We start from the raw sequence: 21811 nt of genomic DNA, 5'->3' as shown, positions 1-21811 counted from the left end.
AATTATGCACATAGGTTTCTTACATAACATGGAAAATTCAATTAAAGAAGAAACAACATTGTGTTCTGAGGTCCCAAAGTTTAGTGATTAATTAGAAAGACTCACAAAACTGAGTGAAGCTGTTATACTCATAGTTTATTACAACAAAAAGATATAGACTAAAATCAGCAGCAGAAAAAGGTGCATAGGGCAGAGTCCAGGAGAGACAAAGCACAAGCTTCTGGTTGTCCTCTCCCAGTGACATCGTGTGGACAGTGCTTAATTCACCCAGAGATATGTGACGAAAAGTACAGAATATACTCCCCAACAAAAACCTTACCTGAGCCTTGGTGTTGAGCATTTTACTGGAGTTTGGTCACATGGACAAGAGCACCCATTTGGTTGACCTTAGTTTCTCTGTCTCCACCCTTCCCAAGGTCAAGCTGACACTGCATGGTCCAAGGTCCCCATAATAAATCACGTTGTTAACTCCCAGATAGGCAGGAGATTCCAAGGACTTAGAGGTTATTTCCTGGGAACTAGGATAGAGTCAAACTTTTCTTTGGAGTATGCCAGGTTTGGGCAATTCAGGCCTACTAAGTTTCCTTGATTGCACACAAGTGATAATATGTAGGAAATGAGTAGTCACATATATTGCTGGTGAAAGTACAGTGTTATATAACCGTTTGGAAAGAAATCAAGTGTGTCTCACATAAAGATTATATTTGGTTTGTTTTTGTTTTTGTCTGAGATAGGGTCTCACTCTGTCACCCACACTGGGGTGCAGTGGCATGATCATAACTCACTGCAGCCTCGACCTCCCAGGCTCCAGCTATCCTCCCACCTCAGTCTCCTGAGTAGCTGGGACCACAGGCACCTGCAAGTACACCCAGCTAATTTTTGTGTTTTTTGTACAGATAGGGTTTCACCATGTTGCCCAGGCTGATTTCAAACTCCTGGGTTCAAACAATCCCCTACCTCAGCTCCCCAAAGTGCTAGGACTACAGGAGTGAGCCACTGCACCCAACCTATATTTGTATATACATTAAATTGTATATGTTAGGCCGGGCATGGTGGCTCACACCTGTAATTCCAGCATTTTGGGAGGTCAAGGTGGGCGGATCACTTGAAGTCATGAGTTTGAGAGCAGCCTGGCCTACATGGTGAAAACCCATCTCCACTAAAAAAACAAAGTTAGCTGGACATGGTGGCAGATGCCTGTATTCCCAGCTATTCAGGAGGCTGAGGCAGGAGAATCACTTGAAACAAGCAGTGGAAGTTGCAGTGAGCCAAGATCATGCCACCGCACTCCAGACAGGATGAGAGACCAAAACTCCATCTCAAAAAACAAAACAAAAAAATTGTATATGTTATTGTATGTATGTGTATATATGAAGTTGTATAGACACATGTTAAATATATATACATATATTACACTTTATACACATACACTTGTTTCCTCATGCAATTTGTTTCAGCAGAAGTAAAAATTAATAAACATATAAGTAAAAGAATATTTATAGAAGCACTATTTTTTGTGGCAAAAGTACTTTAATATCTTAAATGCTCATATAATGAAAGATACTTTAACTCTTACAAAGAATGAGTTAGCTTTTTATCTACTATAAAGGTATCCTAATATCTTTATACCTAAAGTGATATATGTGGCCAACTGTTATACTAAAAAAGGAGAATGCTTTATAATTAAAGAAAAAAGAAAGAAACGTTATATAGTAGCCCTCCCTTATCTGCAGGAGACGTGTTCTAAGACCCACAGTGGATGCCTGAAACTTGGGTAGCATTGACCCAATTGCTGTCAATCAGAACACATTTCTGTTTATGATTTCCACGCACAAATTTAATGCCTTTTTCATCTTAACTAAGCACTTATCACACACGTGGCTGTACTTTTTAGAGCTTGGGGTGCAACAAACTAGACTAACAGAAATTTCTTTTCCCTTCTTAACATTTTCACCACTAGAGGATTTCTTACTATCGATCTTAGCAACCTGAGCACACTACTTCTCTCTTTTTCTTTCTTTCTTCCTTTCTCTTTTTTCTTTCTCTTTCTTTCTTTTTCTTTCTTCTTTCTTTCTTTTCCTTTCTTCTTTCTTTCTTTTTCTTTCTTCTTTCTTTCTTTTTTCTCTTTATTTTATGTATTTACTTATTTATTGAGATGGAAGCTCAGTCTGTCATCCAGGTTGGAGTGCAGTAATGCGATATTGGCTCACTGCAACCTTCTCCTCCCAGGTTCGAGAGATTCTCGTGCCTCTGCCCCCCAAGTAGCTGGGATTAAGGCGCTCTCCACCGTGCCCAAATAATTTTTGTATTTTTTGTAGCAATGGGGTTTCACCATGTTGGCCAGGTTAGTCTCGAATTCCTAATCTCAAAAGATCCACCAGCTTCAGTCTCCCAAAGTGCTGGGATTACAGGCATGAGCCACCATGCCTGGCCTGTATATTCTGTTGTTTGCTGGGCAATACTTATATGAATCTTGGAGAACATCATGGAAAGATGCTCATCATCTTGTTAACTGGTTATTTCAAGAGTGGAACTGGAGGAGGAATCGTGCCTTTCCTGTGTATTTATTTGTAATGTTTCATTTTCATTATGAACATGTATTATTTTAATATGTTTAAATATTAATAAAGACAGGTAAATATATGTAATTTTAATTCAAGCTGAAATCCTCAAGGCAATCACATATAATTAAATAGATGGAGGAAAGAAAACATTTAAAATCCCTGAAGGAAAAGGAGGGAAGTCCAGGCAAGGAGTCTCATGCCTATGTCAGCAATTTGGGAGGCCAAGGCAGGCAGATCACTTGGGGTCAGAAGTTCGAGACCAGTTTAGCCAACATGGTGAAACCCTGTCTCTACTGAAAATACAAAAATTAGGCAGGCATGATGGCATGCACCTGTAATCCTAGCTACTTGGAAGGTTGAGGTGGGAGAATCGCTTGAACCCGGGAGGGAGAGGTTGCAATGAACTGAGATTGTGCCACTGCAGTTCAGTCTGGGTGACACAGCGAGACTCTGTGTCAATCAATCAATAAAAGGAGGGGGAAAAATGCAGCTAAAAAAATAAGGGATTCAAAAGTAGCAATGTACCATAATGCCTAAATTTGTGGGATTGGCGGGGTGTGATGGCTCCCACCTGTAATCCCAGCACTTTAAGAGGCCAAGGTGGGTCGATCACCTGGTCAGGAGTTAGACACCAGCCTGACCAACATTGTGAAACCCTGCCTCTACTAAAAATAAAAAATTTAGCAACGTGTGGTGGCGGACACCTGTAGTCCCAGCTACTAGGGAGGCTGAAACAGGAGAATCACTTGAACCTGGGAATCAGAGGTTGCAGTGAGCTGAGATTGCCCCACTGCACTCCAGCCTGGGTGACAGAGTGAGACTCCCTCCAAACAAACAAACAAACAAACACTTTGGGACAAATTCCAATCGAGTCCAGGGGAGCACACACTGGAGACCAACATCCCCCCTCGGGTTGCTTCAGGGTCGAGAGAGTGCATCTGGAACAGACTGGGAAACTCCAGCAGGCAAAGTAAGGTGCCAGGAATAGACAACACCTGACACACTCCATGTTCCCTCCACCCACCCCTCTCCCCACCAGTCTTCCATCGGGCTCCAATTCTGCACTCTCCCCAAGAACCTGAGACTGAAACATTGCAAGGAAGACACCGATACTCAAAGTCACAGGCTTAGGAATCTGAGCTACAAAGAAAAATGAGCCCCTGCTCCCCCAACTGCCTGGTACTCCCCTCAGCACTGCTGCCCTGCACCTGCCCCCTCCTCCATAATTTGAACTGTCCTCACAGAAGCTGGAGAGACGGCCCACCTGTCAGGAAAGAGAGGACCAGCATGTGGCAAATGCCTGGGGTATGTAGGAGCAGATGGTGAGATTAGCACAGGGTTGTAAGAAACAAGTGGCTCTCAGACCTAAGAAGACTCTGCGGGAGACAGCACATTAAGCCTTCATAGGGGCATGCGCTGGACAGGAGCTCCCCAGTTACCGAAACAATTATCTGAGAAAAGCTCTGATCTGACCCGAAATGCCCTTGGATCCCATGGCAACGCCTCAGCGTCTGGCAGTAATAGGCTTCTGTGCCCAGAATCTCTAGGTCTGGAGGTCCCGCCTCCACCAGCCTCTCACAGCCCAGAGGTGCCTCCCATTGGCGCCTGATGTGTTAGGGAGGCTGTTCTTCCAGCTGTGACAGATCCAGCCTAGGAGCGCTCCTGGGTCTTAGTTGTTTCTTCCCGCACACCTGACACTCAAAGCCACAACCCACTTGCCCGCCACCTTGAGAACACCTTAAAACGACCGTCTAGATCTGATCGCACTAAGGGAATGGTCAGCTTTACTCCCATTAGATGGTTTGGCCCAAAGGACCTAGCGACTACCTAGACAAAAATTTCTTCCTAAAAGCTGCATGTGTCTGTGGTCTCTAAGAGGCAAAACTAAACCCTAAAGAAAAAGCCAACCCACCCCTACCTCCACCACAAAACAAAAACAAAACCTACCGCCAACCCACCTTTCATGTGAGGAGTCCTTGAGAAGGGCCTCTCCAGCCAGGACAAGGCAAGGGAATCTGTGCACTTGGCCAGACCCAGAACACACAGTGTCAGGGACCTGACAGTCACACTCTGACCCCATAGAATTTCCACCACTGACACACAGATCAGGATGTGTCAGCCTGAGAGATGACATCACAAATCTGGCTTTCACAGATTGATTCCACACACATCCCATCACTGACACCAGATTCCCTCATCACTGACCCTACATACCCACAATCATTGATTCCATGGACCTCATCACTATCCCAAAGACCACCCATCACTAATCTACAGATCATCATCTCTCACCCCAGGGGCCCCACAGATTCCCCATCCCTGATTCCAGGATCTATAGAACCTCATCTCTTACCCCCACAGACCTATTAATAAAAGCATACATTCATAGGAGACTGTGTTGACCATTTTACACACCCATTGTGTGTGTGTGTGTGTGTGTGATGATTAATGGACTTAGGTAAACTTTAGTGTTTTGGTAGGCAATGCAATTTTTCAATGTCTTTTCTTTCTTTTTCTTGTACATCTTTAAAGGCCTTACTCCAGTAAGTGTGCATTGCAGTTTATTAATGCCTATCCCTTATTGAGTCTTTGTCATGCATATTTGTTATTAATCATAATTCACAATTCTTATAATTCAGAGACACTAGAGATTCACATAAGAAGAATGGCTTTGGGTTTTTATTTATGTATTTGTTTTGGTTTCTGTAGATTATCAAATTCATTCATTTGTATCAAGTCACTAAGTGTATACTTTGTTTTCTAAAAAAAAATTGCAATTAATTTTTTTTTTAAGACAGGCTATTGCTCTGTCACCCAGGCTGAAGTGCAGTGGTATAATCATGGCCACTGTAGCCTCAACCTCCTGGGCTCAAGTGATCCTCCCTTCTCAGCCTACATAGTAAGCTGAGACCACAGGCATGCACCAATATGCTCACCTAATTAAATTTTTTTTTTGTAGATATGTGTGTCTCACTATGTTGCAGAGACTGGTCTTGAACTCCTGGGCTCAACTGATCCTCCCACCTTGGCCTCCCAAAGTGTTGAGATTACAGGTGTGAGCCACTGTACTCAACTGATAAAATCTTAAAAAGAGGAAAATACTTTGGGACCTAACGTAAAATTTCCACTGAGATGATGCGTCAGAAATTAAGGTGGAATAAGATGGCCCTAGGGCATCAAAACAATGGAAACTAAATCTTGGGCTGGGTGCGGTGGCTCATGCCTGTAATCCCAGCAATTTTGGAAACCAAGGTGGGGGACTCTCTTGAGGTCAGTAGTTTGAGGCCAGTCTAGCCACCATGGTGAAACACTGTCTCTACTAAAAATACAAAAATTAGCCTGGAGGTTTCAATGAGCCAAGACTGTGCCAATGCACTCCAGTCTGGGCAACAGAGGGAGATACTGTCTCAAAAAAAAATAGAAGAAGAAACAAAATCTTAATTTCTTCATCAAATGTAAAAACTATGGACTGGACTATGGAGGAATAATACACAAAAAGACACATAGGCACTATTTTTTTTGAAGTTTTATTGAGAAATATTGATAACATACCACACAAGCCACTGATTTAAAGTGTAAAATTCAATGGTTTTCAGTATATTTGCACTGTTATGCAAACATCACCACAATAAATTTTAGATCATTTTCATTACCCTGAAGTAAACACCATATCCCTCCATTTCCCCCCAACTCCCCTAACCCTGGGCCACAACAAATCTCCTTTCTGTTTCTATGTATTGGTCTATTTTGGACATTTTATTTAAATGGAATTACATAACATGTGGTCCTTTGTGACTGGCTTCTTTCACTTAGCATAATATTTTCAAGGTTTTTTCAATCTTGCATGTGCAAAGGGGGCACTTTACATAAGGGTAAACCTGGGGTGGGGGGTACTTACTGATTGATTTGGAAACTTCCCTCCAAAATTGTAAAGGGTTTCAAATAGAGGAAAAACCTATTCAGGCTAAAATCCTGTTTTCAGCAGTTTGTAATGTGGGGTTTTATTGCAAAGAATGGCAAGATTTTTGGGCTTATTTTCTGCAAATTCTCCCTGTGTTTGGGGAACAGTCACAGAATGTAGAGGAATGGGCTTCTAGGCTCTGTGGCTGGAGATTCACATCTGGGAGAACTCAGGTCCCAGGTAGGCAGAGAAAAACAGTGTAAGAGTGCCAACAGAATGCTTTGAAATGGAAAATTTAAAATGTTCCCTCCAAAAGGAGTCTCAGATAACCACACAAAAGAGGACTTTGCTGGGCAGGTCCATCGCAATTGTTCAATAACAAGACACAGACAGACTGGGAAAGAAGGAAGTTTATTTCTGCAGCCATTTACAGGGAGAAGCACCAGGTAACTCACCAGATCAACTCAAAGTTACAAGTTTTTTTTTCTAGTGCTTATATACATCTTAAGCTCCATGTGAGATTGCACCTACAAGCAGGACTGTTTCATTCAATCAACATCTAATCTTTAACTTGGGTCTAGAGTCTGGAAAGATTTCTCTAGAGTCTTGGAAAGTTTCTGAATCTTAAGACAGGCCAAGGTGAATGTGTACCAATGCTATCATTATTCAATCAAACTTTAGGAGCTGGGCTAGAGTCACACCATTCTTTGGAGTATGCCAGGTTTGGGCAATTCAGGCCTACTAAGTTTCCTTGACTGCACACAAGTGATAGTGAGTATGTAGGAAATGAGTAGTCGCATATATTGCTGGTGAAAGTACAGCGTTATATAACCCTTTGGAAAGAAATCAAGTGTGTAGTGCATAAACATTATATTTGGTTTGATTTGTTTTTGTCTAAGACAGGGTCTCACTCTGTCACCCATGCTGGAGTGCAGTGGCATGATCACAACTCACTGCAGCCTCGACCACCTGGGCTCCAGCTATCCTCCCACCTCAGTCTCCTGAGTAGCTGGGACCACAGGCACCTGCAAGTACACCCAGCTAATTTTTGTGTTTTTTGTACAGACAGGGTTTCACCATGATGCCCAGGCTGGTTTCAAACTCCTGAGTTCAAAAACTCCCCTACCTCAGCTCCCCAGTGTGCTAGGATTACAGGAGTGAGCCGCTGCACCCAACCTATATTTGTATATACATTAAATTGTATAAGTTAGGCCAGGCACGGTGGCTCACAAGTGTAATTCCATCACCTTGGGAGGGCAAGGTCGGTGGACCACTTGAGGTCAGGAGTTCGAGAGCAGGCTGGCCAACATGGTGAAAACCCATCTCCACTAAAAAGACAAAGATAGCTGGACTTGGTGGCAGATGCCTGTATTCCCAGCTACTCAGGAGGCTGAGGCAGGAGAATCACTTGAATCCAAGATGTGGAGGTTGCAGTGAGCTGAGATCACACCACTGCACTACAACCTGGGTGACAGAGCAAAACTCCATCTCAAAAACAACCAAAAAAATTGGGTATGTTATTGTATGTATGTGTATATATTAAGTTGTATATACACGTTAAATATATATACATATATTATATTTTATACACATACATTTGTTTCCTCATGCAATTTGTTTCAGCAGAAGTAAAAATTAATAAAGGTATAAGTAAAAGAATATTTACAGAAGCACTATTTTTGATGGCAAAAGTACTTTAACATTTTAAATGCTCATATAATGGAAGATACTTTAACTCTTACAAATAATGAGTTAGCTTTTTATATACTATAAAGATATCCTAATATCTTTATACCTAAAGTGATATCAATGGCAAATTGTTGTATAAAAAAGGAGAATGCTTTATAATTAAAGAAAAAAAGAAAGAAACGTTATATAGTAGCCCTCCCTTATCTGCAGGAGATGTGATCTAAGACCCGCAGAGCAGTGGATGCCTGAACCTTGGATAGCATTGACCCAATTGCTGTCAATCAGAGTGCATTTCTGTTTATGATTTCCATGCACAAATTTAATGCCTTTTTCATCTTAACTAAGTACTTATCACACATGTGGCTGTACTTTTTAGAGCATGGGGTACAACAAACAAGACTAACAGAAATTTCTTTTTCCTTCTTACATTTTCTCCACTAGAGGATTTGTTCTTACCATCGATCTTAGCAACCTGAGTACATGACTTCTTTTTCTTTCTATTTCTTTCTTTCTTTCTTTCTTGGTTGCTTGCTTGCTTCCTTGCTTTCTTGCTTCCTTTCTCTGTCTCTTTCTCTCTCTTTCTTCCTTTTTTCTTTGTTTCTTTCATCTTTCTTTTTTTCTTTCTTTCTTTCTCTTTATTTATTTATTTATTGAGATGGAATCTCACTCTTCACCCAGGTGGGAGTGAAGTAATGTGATATCGGCTCACTGTAACCTTCATCTCCCAGGTTCAAGTGATTCTCGTGCCCCCACCTCCCAAGTAGCTGGGAATACAGGCGCCCAACACCACGCCCAAATAATTTTTGTGTTTTTTGTAGTGATGGGGTTTCACTATGTTGGCCAGGCTAGTATTGAACTCCTGACCTCAAATGATCCACCTGGTTCAGTCTCCCAAAGTGCTGGGATTACATGTGTGAGCCTATGGCACCTGAGCTGTATATGCCATTGTATGATTGCAAATAATTATATGAATCTTGGAGAACATCATGGAAAGATGTTCATCATCTTGTTAACTGGTTATTTCAAGAGTGGAACTGGAAGGGGAATACTGCCTTTCCTGTGTATTTATTCATAATGTTTCATTTTCATTATGAACATGTATTACTTTAATATGTTTAAATATTAATAAACACAGGCAAAAATATGTAATTTTAATTCAAGCTGAAATCATCAAGGCAATCATACATAACGGAGCAAATAAAACATTTAAAATGAATGAAAAGGAGGGGAGGCCAGGCACTGTGGCTGACGCCTATAATCCCAGCATTTTGGGAGGCCAGGCAGGCAGATCACTTGGGGTCAGAAGTTTGAGACTGCCTTGGCCAATCGAGACCCCTGGACTTGATTGGAATTGGTCCCACAAACGTTTTTTTTTTGAGGGAGTCTCACACTGTCACCCAGGGTGGAGTGCAATGGGTTAATCTTGGCTCACTGCAACCTCTGCCTCCTGGGTTCAAGCGATTCCCCTGCCTCAACCTCCCTAGTAGCTCGGACCTCAGGTGTCCACCACAACACCTCACTAATTTTTTTCTATTTTTAGTAGGGACAGGGTTTCACAATGTTGGTCAGGCTGGTCTCAAACTCCTGACTTCAGGTGATCCACTGGCCTTGGCCTCTCAAAGTGCTGGGATTACAGGTGGGAGCCATCACACCCCACCAATCCCACAAATTTAGGCATTATGATACATCGGAGCCACCATGTCCCACCAATTACACATATTTAGGCATTATGATATATTGCTACTTTTAGAATCACTTGGTTTTTATATTGTGTTTTTTCCCTTCCATTTGTTTGTTTATTTATTTATTTATTGAGACAGAGTCTCGCTGTGTCACCCAGCCTGGAGTGCAGTGGCACCATCTTGGCTCACTGCAACCTCCACCTCCCAGCACTCCATCTCCACCACACTGCCAACTAACATGCTTCCTCAAGCCCCCTCAGGGTCTAGAGAGTGCGTCTGGAACAGACTGGGAAACTCCAGTAGGCAAAGTAAGGTGCCAGGAATAAAGACACCGCCTGAAACTTTCTCCATGTTCCCTCCACCCACTCCTCTCCCCACAACTCTTCCATCTGGCTCTAACTCTGCCCTCTCCCAAGAGCCTCAGATTGAAACGTTGCAAAGGAGACAAAGATTCTCAAAGTCACAGGCTTGGGAATCTGAGCTACAAAGAAAAATGAGCCCCTGCTCCCCCAACTCCCCCGTACTCCCCTCCGCACTGCTGCCCTGCATCTGCCCCCTCCTCCATAATTTGAACTGTCCTCCCAGAAGCTGGAGAGAGATTGTCCGCCTGTCAGGAAAGAAAGGACCAGCATGCGGCAAATGCCTGGGCTACGTAGGAGCAGACGGCGAGATTAGTGCAGGGATTTAAGAAACAAGTGGCTCTCAGACCAAAGAAGACTCTGCCCGAGATGGCACACTAAGCATTCATAGGGGCGTGCGCTGGACAGGAGCTTGCCAGTTACCCAAAGAATTGTCTGAGAAAGGCCCTTGTCTGTCTGACCCGAAAGGCCCTTGGTTCCCACGGCAACTCCTCAGCGTCTGGCAGTAATAGGCTTCTGTGCCCAGACTTTCTGGGTCTGGAAGTCCCCCTCCGCCAGCCTCTTGCAGCCCAGAGTCACCTCCCATTGGCGGCTGATGGGTTGAGGAGGCTGTTCTTCTAGCTGTGACAGATCAAGCCTGAGGACCTCTCATGTGTCTTTCTTAGTTGTTTCTTCCCGCCCACCTGCCACTCAAAGCCACAACCCACTTTCATGCCCCCGAGTGGACCCCTTAAAGCGACCATCTAGATCTGAACTGCGCTGAGGGAATGGTCAGCTTCGTTCCCATTAGATGGCTTGGCCCAAAGGACTAGCGATTGCCCAGACAAAAATGTCTTCCTAAAACTGGATGTGTCTGTGGTCTCTAAGAGGCAAAACCAAACCCAAAAGAAAAAGCCAACCCACCCACCCCTATCACAAAACAAAACAAAAACAAAAACCGCCGACAACCCACCTTTCACATGAGGAGTCCGTGAGAAGGGCCTCTCCAGCCAGGATCAGGTAAGGGAATCTGTGCCCTTGGCTGGACCCAGAACACCCAGTGGCAGGGACCTGACTATCACACTCTGACCCCATAGAATTTCCACCACTGACACAGATCAGGATGTGTCAGCCTGAGAGATGACACCACAAATCTGGCCTTCACAGATTGATTCCACACTCTCTCATTGATTCCACACACATCCCATCACTGACACCAGATTCCCTCATCACTGACCCTACATACCCACGAGAATTGATTCCATGGATCTCATCACTGTCCAAAAAACCACCCATCACTAATCTACAGATCCTCACCTCTCACCCCAGGGACCCCACAGATTCCCCATCCCTGACTCCAGGATCTATAGAACCTCATCTCTTACCCCCACAGACCTATTTATAAGAGGATACGTTCATGGAATACCGTGTTGACCATTTTTCACATCCATTGCGTTTGTGTGTTTGTGTGCGCTGATTAATGGACTTAGGTAAACTTTAGCATTTTGGTAGCCAATGCAGTTTTTCAATGCCGTTTCTTTTTCTTTCTTTTTCTTGTACAACTTTAAAGACCTTACTCCAGTAAGTGTGATTTGCAATTTATCAATGCCTATCTCTTATTGGGTCCTTGTCATGCATATTTGTTATTAATCATAATTCACAATTCTTACAACTCAGAGACACCAGAGACTCACATAAGAAGAATGGCTGTGGGTTTTTATTATTGTTATTTTTTTGGTTTCTGTAGATTATAAAAGTCATTCATTTGTATCAAGTCAGTAATTGTATATTTTGTTTTCTTAAAAAATGTAATTAAAAATATTTTTGCTGGAATGCAGTCGTATAATCATGGCCACTGCAGCCTCAACCTCCTGGGCTCAAGTGATCCTCCCACCTCAGCTTACCTACTGGCTGAGACCACAGGCATACAACAATATACCCACCTAATTAAACAATTTTTTTTTGTAGAGATAGGCATCTCACTATGTTGCAGAGATTGGTCTTGAATTCCTGGGCTTAACTAATCCTCCCACCTTGGCCTCCCAAAGTGTTGCAGTTAGAGGTGTGAGCCACTGCACTCAGCTGATAAAATCTTAAAAAGAGTAAAATACTTCAGGAAGTAATGTAAAATTTCCACTGAGATGATGCATCAGAAATTAAAGTAGAATAAAATTGACCTAGGGCATCTGAAACAATGGAAACTAAATCTTGAGCCAGGCGTGGTGGCTCATGCCTGCAATCCCAGCACTTTTGGAGGCCAAGGTGGTGGACTTATTTGAGGTCAGAAGTTCGAGACCAGCCTAGCCAACATGGTGAAACACCATCTCTACTAGGAATACAAAAATTAGCTGGGAGGTTTCAGTGAGATGAAATCGTGCCACTGCACTCCAGCCTGGGCAACAGAGGGAGACTCTGTCTCAAAACATAAAATAAATAAAATAAAAATAAAGAGGAAGAAGAAACAATATCTTGATTTCTTTATCAAGTGTAAAAATGTGGACTCTGGAGGCACACAGGTACTCTTTGAAGTTTTATTGAGAAATATTAACATGTCACAGAAGGCACCCATTTAAAGTGTAAAATTCAATGATTTCAGTATATTTGCACAGTTGTGCAAACATCACCACAATAAATTTTAGATCATTTTCATTGCCCCAAAGTAAACCCCATATCCCTCCATTTCCCCCAACTCCCCTAACCCTGGGCCACCACTAGTCTACTTTCTGTCTCTATGCATTCATGTATGTTGGACATTTTATTTAAATGGAATTACATAACATGTGATATTTCGTGACTGGCTTCTTCCACTTAGCATAATATTTTCAAGGTTCATTTAATCCTGAATGTGCGGAGGGGGCACTTTGCATAGGGATAAACCTGGTAGGTGGGCTTACTGATTGATTTTGAAACTTCACTCCAAAATTGTGTGTGTATATGTATATATATATTTTTTGTTTGTTTGTTTGTTTTGAGACAGAGTCTGGCTGTGTTGCCAGGCTGGAGTGCAGTGGTGTGATCTCGGCTCACTGTAACCTCTGCCTCCCTGGTTCAAATGACTATCCTGCCTCAGCCTTCTGAGTAATTGGGATTACAGGCATGTGCTACCACACCTGGCTACTTCTGTATTTTTAGTAGAAACAGTGCTCTTCCATGTTGGTCAGGCTGGTCCTGACCACCACCATGTCCAGCTAATTTTTTTTTAAGACAGGGTCTCACTCTGTTACCCAGGCTGGAGTGCAGTGGCACAATGTCAGCTCACTGCAGCCTCGACCTCCAGAGATCAAATGATCCTCCCACTTCAGCCGCCCAGGTAGCTGTGACCACAAATATGTGCCACCACACCTGACTAATTTTTGTATTTTTAAAATACAAAAAAACCTGTTAAGACAGGGTTTCAGCAGGTTGTCCAGGCTGGTCTCGAACTCTGGAGCTCAAGTGATCCACCTACCTTGGCCTCCCAAAGTGCTGGGATTACAGGTGTGAGCCACTGCACTTGACCTAATTTTTGTTTTTTTTTTTCCGAAGAGATGAGGTCTTGCTGTGTTGCCCAGACTGGTCTCAAACTCCTGGCTCAAGCAATCCTCCCGTCTTGGCCTTCCAAAATGCTGGGATTACAGGTGTGAGCCACCACACTGGCCCATTCTTTCTTTTATACTGAGTATTCAGAAATTGTTTGAAATGTGTTTTCCACTTACAGCATTTCTCAGGTTGGACTAGCCATCTTTCAAGTGTTCAGCAGCCTTATTGAACAGCACAGCTCCGGAGGGTGATTTTATGTACATTCCCACTGCTCTCTCTGCCTCCTTGATTCCCGTCTACCCCAAACCTCTGCAGTCTGCGACTATCGTGTCTCTCTCTCCTCTCTTTCTGTTTCTTGTGTTCCTTTAATATGGAGAATTATTTCCAATTCCTTAACATCGTCCCCTGATTTTTTTCTGTCCTATATTCAAGGGTCACAGTTTTCCTCTCACCATCATTACAGTCTTTTCCCATAACATGTGACATGCCTTTTTGTCTTGGTTGAGTATTTATTTGCAATACATGAATGGTTGTTTTTTTGATACATTAGTGACTTACATACTTTTTTTTTTTCTGAGATGGAGTCTTGTTCTGTCACCCAGGCTGGAGTGCAGTGGTGCGATCTCAGCTCACTACAACCTCTGCCTTCCAGGTTCAAGTGATTCTCCTGCCTCAGCCTCCTGAGAAGCTGGGATTACAGATGTGCACCACCACATCTGGCTAATTTTTGTTCTCTTAGTAGAGACAGAGTTTTGCCATTTTGGCTAGGCTGGTCTTGAGCTCCTGACCTCAGGAGATCCACCCTCCTCGGCCTCCCAAAGTGCTGGAATTATAGGTGTGAGTCACCTCACTTGTCCAGTCTGCACTATTCCTTAGAGTCAGACAATTTGAGGCAAACAATGTCTTTCTCATTCAGATGTGACCTTCAGGGTCTGACTTTTGTATTTTTAGTATAGACAAGGTTTCTTTTCTTTCTTTCTTTCTTTCTTTCTTTTTTTTTTTTTGTTGTTTTTGAGACAGAGTTTCACTCTTGTCACCCAGGCTGGAGTGCAGCGGCATGATCTCAGCTCACTGCAACCTCTGCATCCTGTGTTCAAGCGATTCTCCTGCCTCAGCTTCCTGGGTAGCTGGGATTACAGGCGTCTGCCACCACACCCGGCTAATTTTTTGTATTTTTAGTAGAAACAGGGTTTTGCCATGTTGGGCAGACTGGTCTCGAATTCCTGACCTTAGGTGATCTGCCAACCTCAGCCTCCCAAAATGTGGGGTTACAGGCGTGAGCCAGCACCTGGCCTCTCCTGGCTAATTATTTGTGTTTTTGAAGAGATGAGGTTTCACCATGTTGGCCAGGATGGTCTTGATCTCCTGATCTCGTGATCCACTGGCCTCAGCCTCCCAGAGAGCTGGGATTAGAGGTGTGAGCCACTATGCCCAGCCTCAATGTAGCTTTTTATCCAAGTATTTATGTAGGAAAAATCAATCAAAGGGCACAACCGTTTCAATACTTAGGTTATTTAAGATGAAATTTGTGACCAGAAGAGTGCCAGACACACATGAAATGTTTTGTGCATGAAGGAACCACAAATTAGATAAACAAAGTTGAAGGAACTAAGTAACAAATAATTTTCTGTTGTTTGTTTTGGTATGTTATTTTGGTAATGTGATTAATCATGTATGTCGACGGCATTGGGAAGAATTTCCAGATTCTCTGATATGCATGATATCTTAATCATATGAAATAAAAGAAGGCTATCTTAGGAAATTAGGTATCACTGCCAAGGACCTTTACATGAGAAGATAAATTAAAATTACTATTAAATTGGTAACAATCAGATGGGCTGGCAGGCAAGTTGTATCATTTTTTCTTGGCATTTTTTCTTTTCCTTGATTCAATAAAACAAACCTAAATGCCAGCTATCTGCAGAACCCTCACTAGACTATGTTTAATGATATGTGAAACACAGTCTGCACACTCACAGATCCTTGCCATGTCCCGTTCCCATCCTCTCAAAACCTGTGTTACCCTGTGGCTAGATTTCTTAAGGAGATGAAAGACAGAGACAAATGAGAACTATATTTTTTGAGGTCACTCTACACAGCTCCTGCAGGTAGACAATGAACTCTCCGGTGAGGCTTTTATCCTTGGCTCGGGGGTGGAGGCCTTAATCCTAGAAAAGAGGCCTCTCAGGGTGGGGAGGTGATTTAAATCCTTATGAGATAGACGCAGCTCCCCACCTCTTCCAGACCTTCACAAACCCAAACTGGAACCACCGGAAAAACGACTGACAAATGGCCTCAAGACCCAGGCAGAGACGCGGGGAGAGGGTGACCAGAAGAAAGGCCGACGTACAAGATACCGCCCTCTGGCACACAGGGCACATGTGTCCCAACACACACACGCACACACAGACGGGCACAGAGTGAAAGAGCGAGAAAGGAGAGAGAGAGAAATAAGAGAGAGACTTACGCACACACACAAACGCACAAAGACATAGGGCAGTGGCACGGTAACACCCACCCCCAGGCAGCCCCTGAAGCTGCTGTGTTCTGCTCTCTGCAACTACGACCCACCAATGAGAGAGCAGCTCATGGGCACACAAGCAAACCTCTCCTTTTTTGAAGATACTCACTGGCACACCGTCCATGCAGTCCTGAGGCTGGGATCCCGCCCTGCTTCTCCTGCCCTCCGCCAGCGGTTTCTTCCTCTTGGACGACCCTCCGTGAATCCCGGCCTCCAGAGATCATCCTGTTGATGCCCTGGCCAGGACTGGTCTTAGCCTCGACTCTGATTAATCCCTCTAATCCCAGGTACTCGCGAGGCGGAGGCAAGAGAATCATTTGAACCCAGGCGGCAGAGTTTGCAGTGAGCTGAGATCCCGCCACTGCACTCCAGACTGGGTGACAGGGTGAGATTCCGACTATTAAAAAAATGATAAAATAAATGATGGCGGAGCGGCGGCTGCGGGGACTCGGGCGGTGGCTGGTGAAGTGAAGATTGGGAGAGGGGCCTCATCAACCCTCCGCAAATCCTGGCCTGAGGCTGGGATCTCGCGCTGCCTCCCCTGCGATCTGCCTGAGGTTTCTTGCTCCTGAGGTTTCTCCCTGGTTGTCGACCCTCCGAGAATACCGGTCACTGGAGACCATCCTGTTAACACCCTGGCCAGGACTGCTCTCAGTCTCGACTCTGACGCACTATCACACAAGGCTCCTACTTTGCCAAGTCTCAGGAACCTATTTCTGGGCAGCAGTGCTGGACACTGTTACCAAAGCTGTGGCTCGGACCTCGCGCATGCGCGCTGGCGAGGCCGACTCTGCCCTTGCTCTGGAGAGTCAGGCTGCGGACCCTTTAAAACATGGCTGCAACACAGCTGACTGCGGGGACTGGGGCGGTGGTACAGTCCGAGGCGGCGGGTGGGAAGGGTACTAGGAGGGGGCCTGCAGGAGACCCAGGGTTGGACCCATAGGAGTCCTGTCGTCAGGACCTTCTCGATCCGTCTTCTGCTTCAGTTCCTGGTGGAGGAGGAGCTTCAGGGTGCCGCTGGGCTCTCCGGACTCCTCTTCTGATCTGATTATGGATCCGAAAGGGGGATCAGAAATGGGGTTACAATGTAGTGAGGCGGGAAGGGTCTCGCTGGGGCACAGAAAGATCCCAAGGGCCGTAAGGCGTACTGTAGGCTGAAAATGCAATGACCTATGAGCCCACTGCCTCCCTCCTTCCTGGGTGGAGCAGTGGCCTGCCTTTATCTCCAAGGCCCGGGGCTCTGGCATCCCGAAACTTCTTTCTGCCACATGTGCAAAGAGAGAAAGAGGCAAGTCCGAGATGGAGCCAATGTGACCACGAGTGGCACTGATGTCACCCAAGAGCAGACGGAATGAGCGTGTGTCTCTGAGGCCATATGGGGTGATGCCGAGACAGACAGTGACGTCCAAGTGTGTGCCTGTGGGCCACTAGGACCTCCCACATAAAGCTGAGGAAAAGCCAAGCACACCTAAAAACCTGCGAGACAGGGCCTGTGCCCGAGTCCAAGCCACATTCAGGGATGCCTGCCTGAGGGGCCCAGAGATTTCCACAAAGTACATCCCACCCCAATCCTGCCAGTGGGTAGGTACCTCTGATGCCAACTCCCCTGCACCCAGCAAAACCCAGTCCTCTCGGTTCCCTGACATTCGTGGCAGCCAAAAGATTCAGTGCTTGAAGGCACTCTCCCCAGGAGCAGAGCAACCAGATGGCCCTCAGGAATGAGAGAGAAGTACAGGTGGGATGCAACACCGCCTTTCCTAGAAAACAAAGGTCAGCCACGGTCAGGTCACCTCCTGCTCTTCCTGGACCGACTACACAGCCATCACTTTGGACATGGAGACCAAGGGAGCTTTGCTGTCCAAGACAGGTATGGAAGCCCAGAGCTCCAGGATCATCACACCTGCCCAATCATCCAGAAATAGGTTTTGCAGAGGGAAGCAATCATGAAACGGACCCCAAAGAAATTTCTCCCTGATGGACTGGGAAGTGTTCTTTGTTGAAGATGTTGAGCCAGACTAAGAAGGCTCTAGGATTCCCAGAGCCTGGGCAGACAGAGCAAGAGGGAGGACAGAGTAGAGGCCAGCGCCCAGGCAGGATACGGCACAAAGCCACCATCATGGGCATCCGGGAAAAAGTGTCAAGCGGGTGACTTGGCCAGGAAGGCCAGCGTTTGGGTGACAGAAATGCTTGCTGCATCCCGTTGCTGGCTTCCTTTTCTGTCGCCGTGTCGAACTGTTCCTGGATTTCTGAATGAGGGCAAAGTGCAAGAGGAGTGAAAACCGTCTTCTTCAAGGTCTGTGGGCACCCTCCTGGGGGTGGACAATGAGCACCTGTGAGGCCTTTGTCCTTGGTTGGGTTGTGGTCGTCTTGATCCTAGCAAAGAGGCAGCTGAGGATGGGAAGGGTGTTAAAACCCTTGCGAGTCAGGCTGGAGGCTCAGAGCCCCAACAAGGAAGCAGGGCCACAGAGAACTCCTGCTTTGCCAAGCCTCAGGGGCTGGATTCTAAGAACCATGGAAATCAATGTGATGAGAGAATCAGCTAGAGCCTCGCGGATAGGCATTTGCTGGGCCTACTCACGTTGTGCTCCTGGAAGACAGGCTGTGGCCCCTTTAAACAATGGCGACTGCACAGTGGCAGGGAGAATCCTGTTGCAGCCGCGGCGATGGCAGGATGCAGGTTCCAGTAGGGGGCGGCAGGGGAGAGAGGGCCGCGGTGGTCCCAGGGCCAAATCCCGAGGAGTCCTGTCTTAAAGACTTCCTTGAGCTGACTTCCACCGGTGGAGGGAGAGCTTCAGGGCACCTGCTGGCATCTCAAGACCCCTCTTAAGATCTGATTTTGGACCCCTCCGGGTGAAGAAGGATGGACTCACCACATCTGCTGAGAAAGGAAGGGCCTCATTGCAGGGCAGAATGATCACATGGGCCTCAAGGTGTGGTGTCAGCAGAAAAATCACTGACCCATGAGCCCTCTGCCTCCCTCCTCCTTTGAAAGAGCAGTCGCCTGCCCCACTTGTAAAAGCTCTGGGGCGCTTGCAAGCTGATACCTCTTTCCAGGGCACATGCAAACAGGGACAAGGGCAATTCCAAAGTGGAGTCAATTCCAACATGCGTGGCACTGGCGTATCCCAGAGCAGATGGTGTGAATGTGTGTCACTGAAGGCATATGGGGTGATGGCGAAACACAAGATGGTGTTCAGGCATGTGCCAGGTGGAAGGGGGGCACAAGTGACCTTTGCATCAATGCCAAGGAATATTGAAGAACACCTGGATCCAGGAGGCCAAAAGATTCAGGGAGTCAGTCCACCCAGAAGCAGAGGAGGGAATGTTTCTCAATAATGAGACTGGAAGTGCAGATGAAATGTGACACTGCCTGTTTTAGACTAGGCTGGTCACAGTGGCCTGCTGCTCATTCTAGGCAATCCACCAACCAATGAGGTGAAACATGGAGACGAAGGTAGCTTGCCTGTCTGAGAAACCTATGGAAGTCAAGCTCTCCAGGGTCATCCAACCAGCCCAATCAAGCAGAAACAGGTTGGGAGAGAGAAAAAATCGTGATGCGCATGTCCGCCAAGTGTCTCCCTGATGGACTGGAAAGTGATCTTTGTTGAAGACATTCAGCCAGACCTAGATGCATCTAGGCCCCTCAGAAACGGGAGACAGAGCAAGAGGGAGGACAGAGCAGGGGCCAGAGCCCAGGTAGGATACAGCACTTTGCCACCTCCACGGGCACAAGGGGAGGGGTGCTGAACCGGTGGCTTGTCCAGAGAGGCCAGCGTTCCCGTGACAGGGATTGTTGCCATCTCCCATTCCCAGCTTCCTCTTCAAGACTGTATCGTGGTGTGGCTTCATTTCTCAGAGAAGAGCCACGAAAAGATACAATCATCTTCTTGGACGTGGGTCTGCTCCTCTCCTGCAGGACAGTGAGCTCCTGTGGGGCTTTTGTCTTTGGGTGGAGTGTGGTCATTTTGATCCTAGAAAAGAGGCTGCTCAGGATGGGGATGATAGTTCAATTGCTCCGGACCAACGCGTCTCCTCACGTGGTCAAGGCCTTCACAAACCCAAAGTGGAACGGCCAGGAAAACGACTGACAGCCGGCCACATGAACCAGGCAGAGATGCAGAAAGAGGCTCACCAAAGACCAGCCGACATGCAAGAAATAGCTTTCTGGCTCACAGGCACATACGTCCAAACGCACAAACACACCAGGGCACGCATACACAAACACACACCCACACACACACCGACAGAGAGAGGGAAAGAAACAGAGTGAGAGACAGCGAGAGAGGAGAGAATGGGAGACACACACACATACACATACACACACCGTCACACGGCAGTGGCATGGAAACACACCCTCCTCAGCCCGAATGCCACCCCTGAGGCTGGGGGGTTCTGCTGTCGACGAGAATGACCCTCGGGTGACAGAGCAGCCCAAGGGCACACAGGCAGGCCTGTCCTAGAGATCACGGGGGCACGAATTTGGGGAGACTCACCCGAACACCTTCTGGGCAGGCCTGAGGCTAGGCTGCTGTGGTGCTTCCTACGGACTCCGCCGGGGGTTTCTTCATCCTGGTCGGCCCTTTGCGACTCTTGGCATCCAGAGACGTTCCTGTCGACCCCGTGGAGAGGTCAGGCCAGAGCCTCGGAGCCCCGATGCCCAAGTACTGCCACGGAGGGCTCCTGCTTTGCCAAGCCTCCTGGACTGGTTTCTAAGACAACCATGGGAATCACTGTGATGGGAGAAGCGGATCTCACCTCGCGCATGCGCATTGGCTGGACCGACTCGCGCTCCGCTCCTGGCAGTCAGGCGAGTCCCCTTGAAACAATGGCAGCTGCACGGCGGCAGGGGGGCTCCTGCCACAGCCTCCGTGGCCTCTGGATCCAGGACCCAGTAGGGGGCGGCGTAGGAGAGAGGTCCACGGGCGACCTAAGGCCAAACCCTCAGGAGTCCCGTCTTCAGGACCTGCTTGAGCCGACTTCCACCGATGGAGGGAGAGCTCGAGGGTGCCTGCTGGGGTCTCAGGACTCCTCTTTGAATCACATCTTGGACCCCTCAGGGTGAGAAAGGATGGGATCACCACATCTGCTAAGGCAGGCCGGGACTCACTGCAACACAGAATGTTCCCAGGAGCCTCAAAGCATAGTGTCAGCTGAAAATTCACTGACCCATGAGCTGTCTGCCTCCCTCCTCCATTGAAAGAGCAGTGGCCTGCCCCGGTTCTAAAAGTCCTGGGGCTTCTGCAAGCTGATACCGCTTTCCAGGACAAGTGCAAACAGGGACAGAGGCGATTCCCAGGTGGAGCCAAGGCGACCACGTGTGGCACTGGCGTATACCAGAGCAGATGGAATGGATGTGTGTCACCGAGGGCATATGGGGCGATGGCGAAACAAGCAATGGTGTCCAGGCATGTGCCCGGCTGAAGAGGGGCACAAGTGACCTTTCCATCAATGCCAACCAAAATCAAAGAACACCTGGGATCCAGGAGGGGTCCAAAAGATTCAGGGAGTCAGTCCGCCCAGGAGCAGAGGAGAGGATGTCCCTCAAGAATGAGACAGGAGATGCAGAGGACATGCAACACCGTGCCTGTCCTAGAAGA

At 46.5% G+C, this 21811-nt stretch overlaps 1 long non-coding RNA gene across 1 annotated transcript in view; it reads right to left on the bottom strand.

The window, feature by feature from the left end:
* The window catches only part of LOC105375302 (uncharacterized), a 45033-nt gene extending 24128 nt beyond the window's left edge, over positions 1–20905 (bottom strand). Inside the window, exon 1 of the long non-coding RNA XR_001745217.1 lies at positions 20708–20905. This is a non-coding gene — a long non-coding RNA (uncharacterized LOC105375302). The remainder of the gene's footprint in view (positions 1–20707) is intronic.
* Positions 20906–21811: the final 906 nt, after the last annotated feature.

Source organism: Homo sapiens, chromosome 7 (assembly GCF_000001405.40).
Source record: "Homo sapiens chromosome 7, GRCh38.p14 Primary Assembly".
Taxonomy (NCBI): domain Eukaryota; kingdom Metazoa; phylum Chordata; class Mammalia; order Primates; family Hominidae; genus Homo; species Homo sapiens.
The sequence above is the reverse complement of the archived record's forward strand: the minus strand, read 5'-3'. Positions and strand labels throughout refer to the sequence as shown.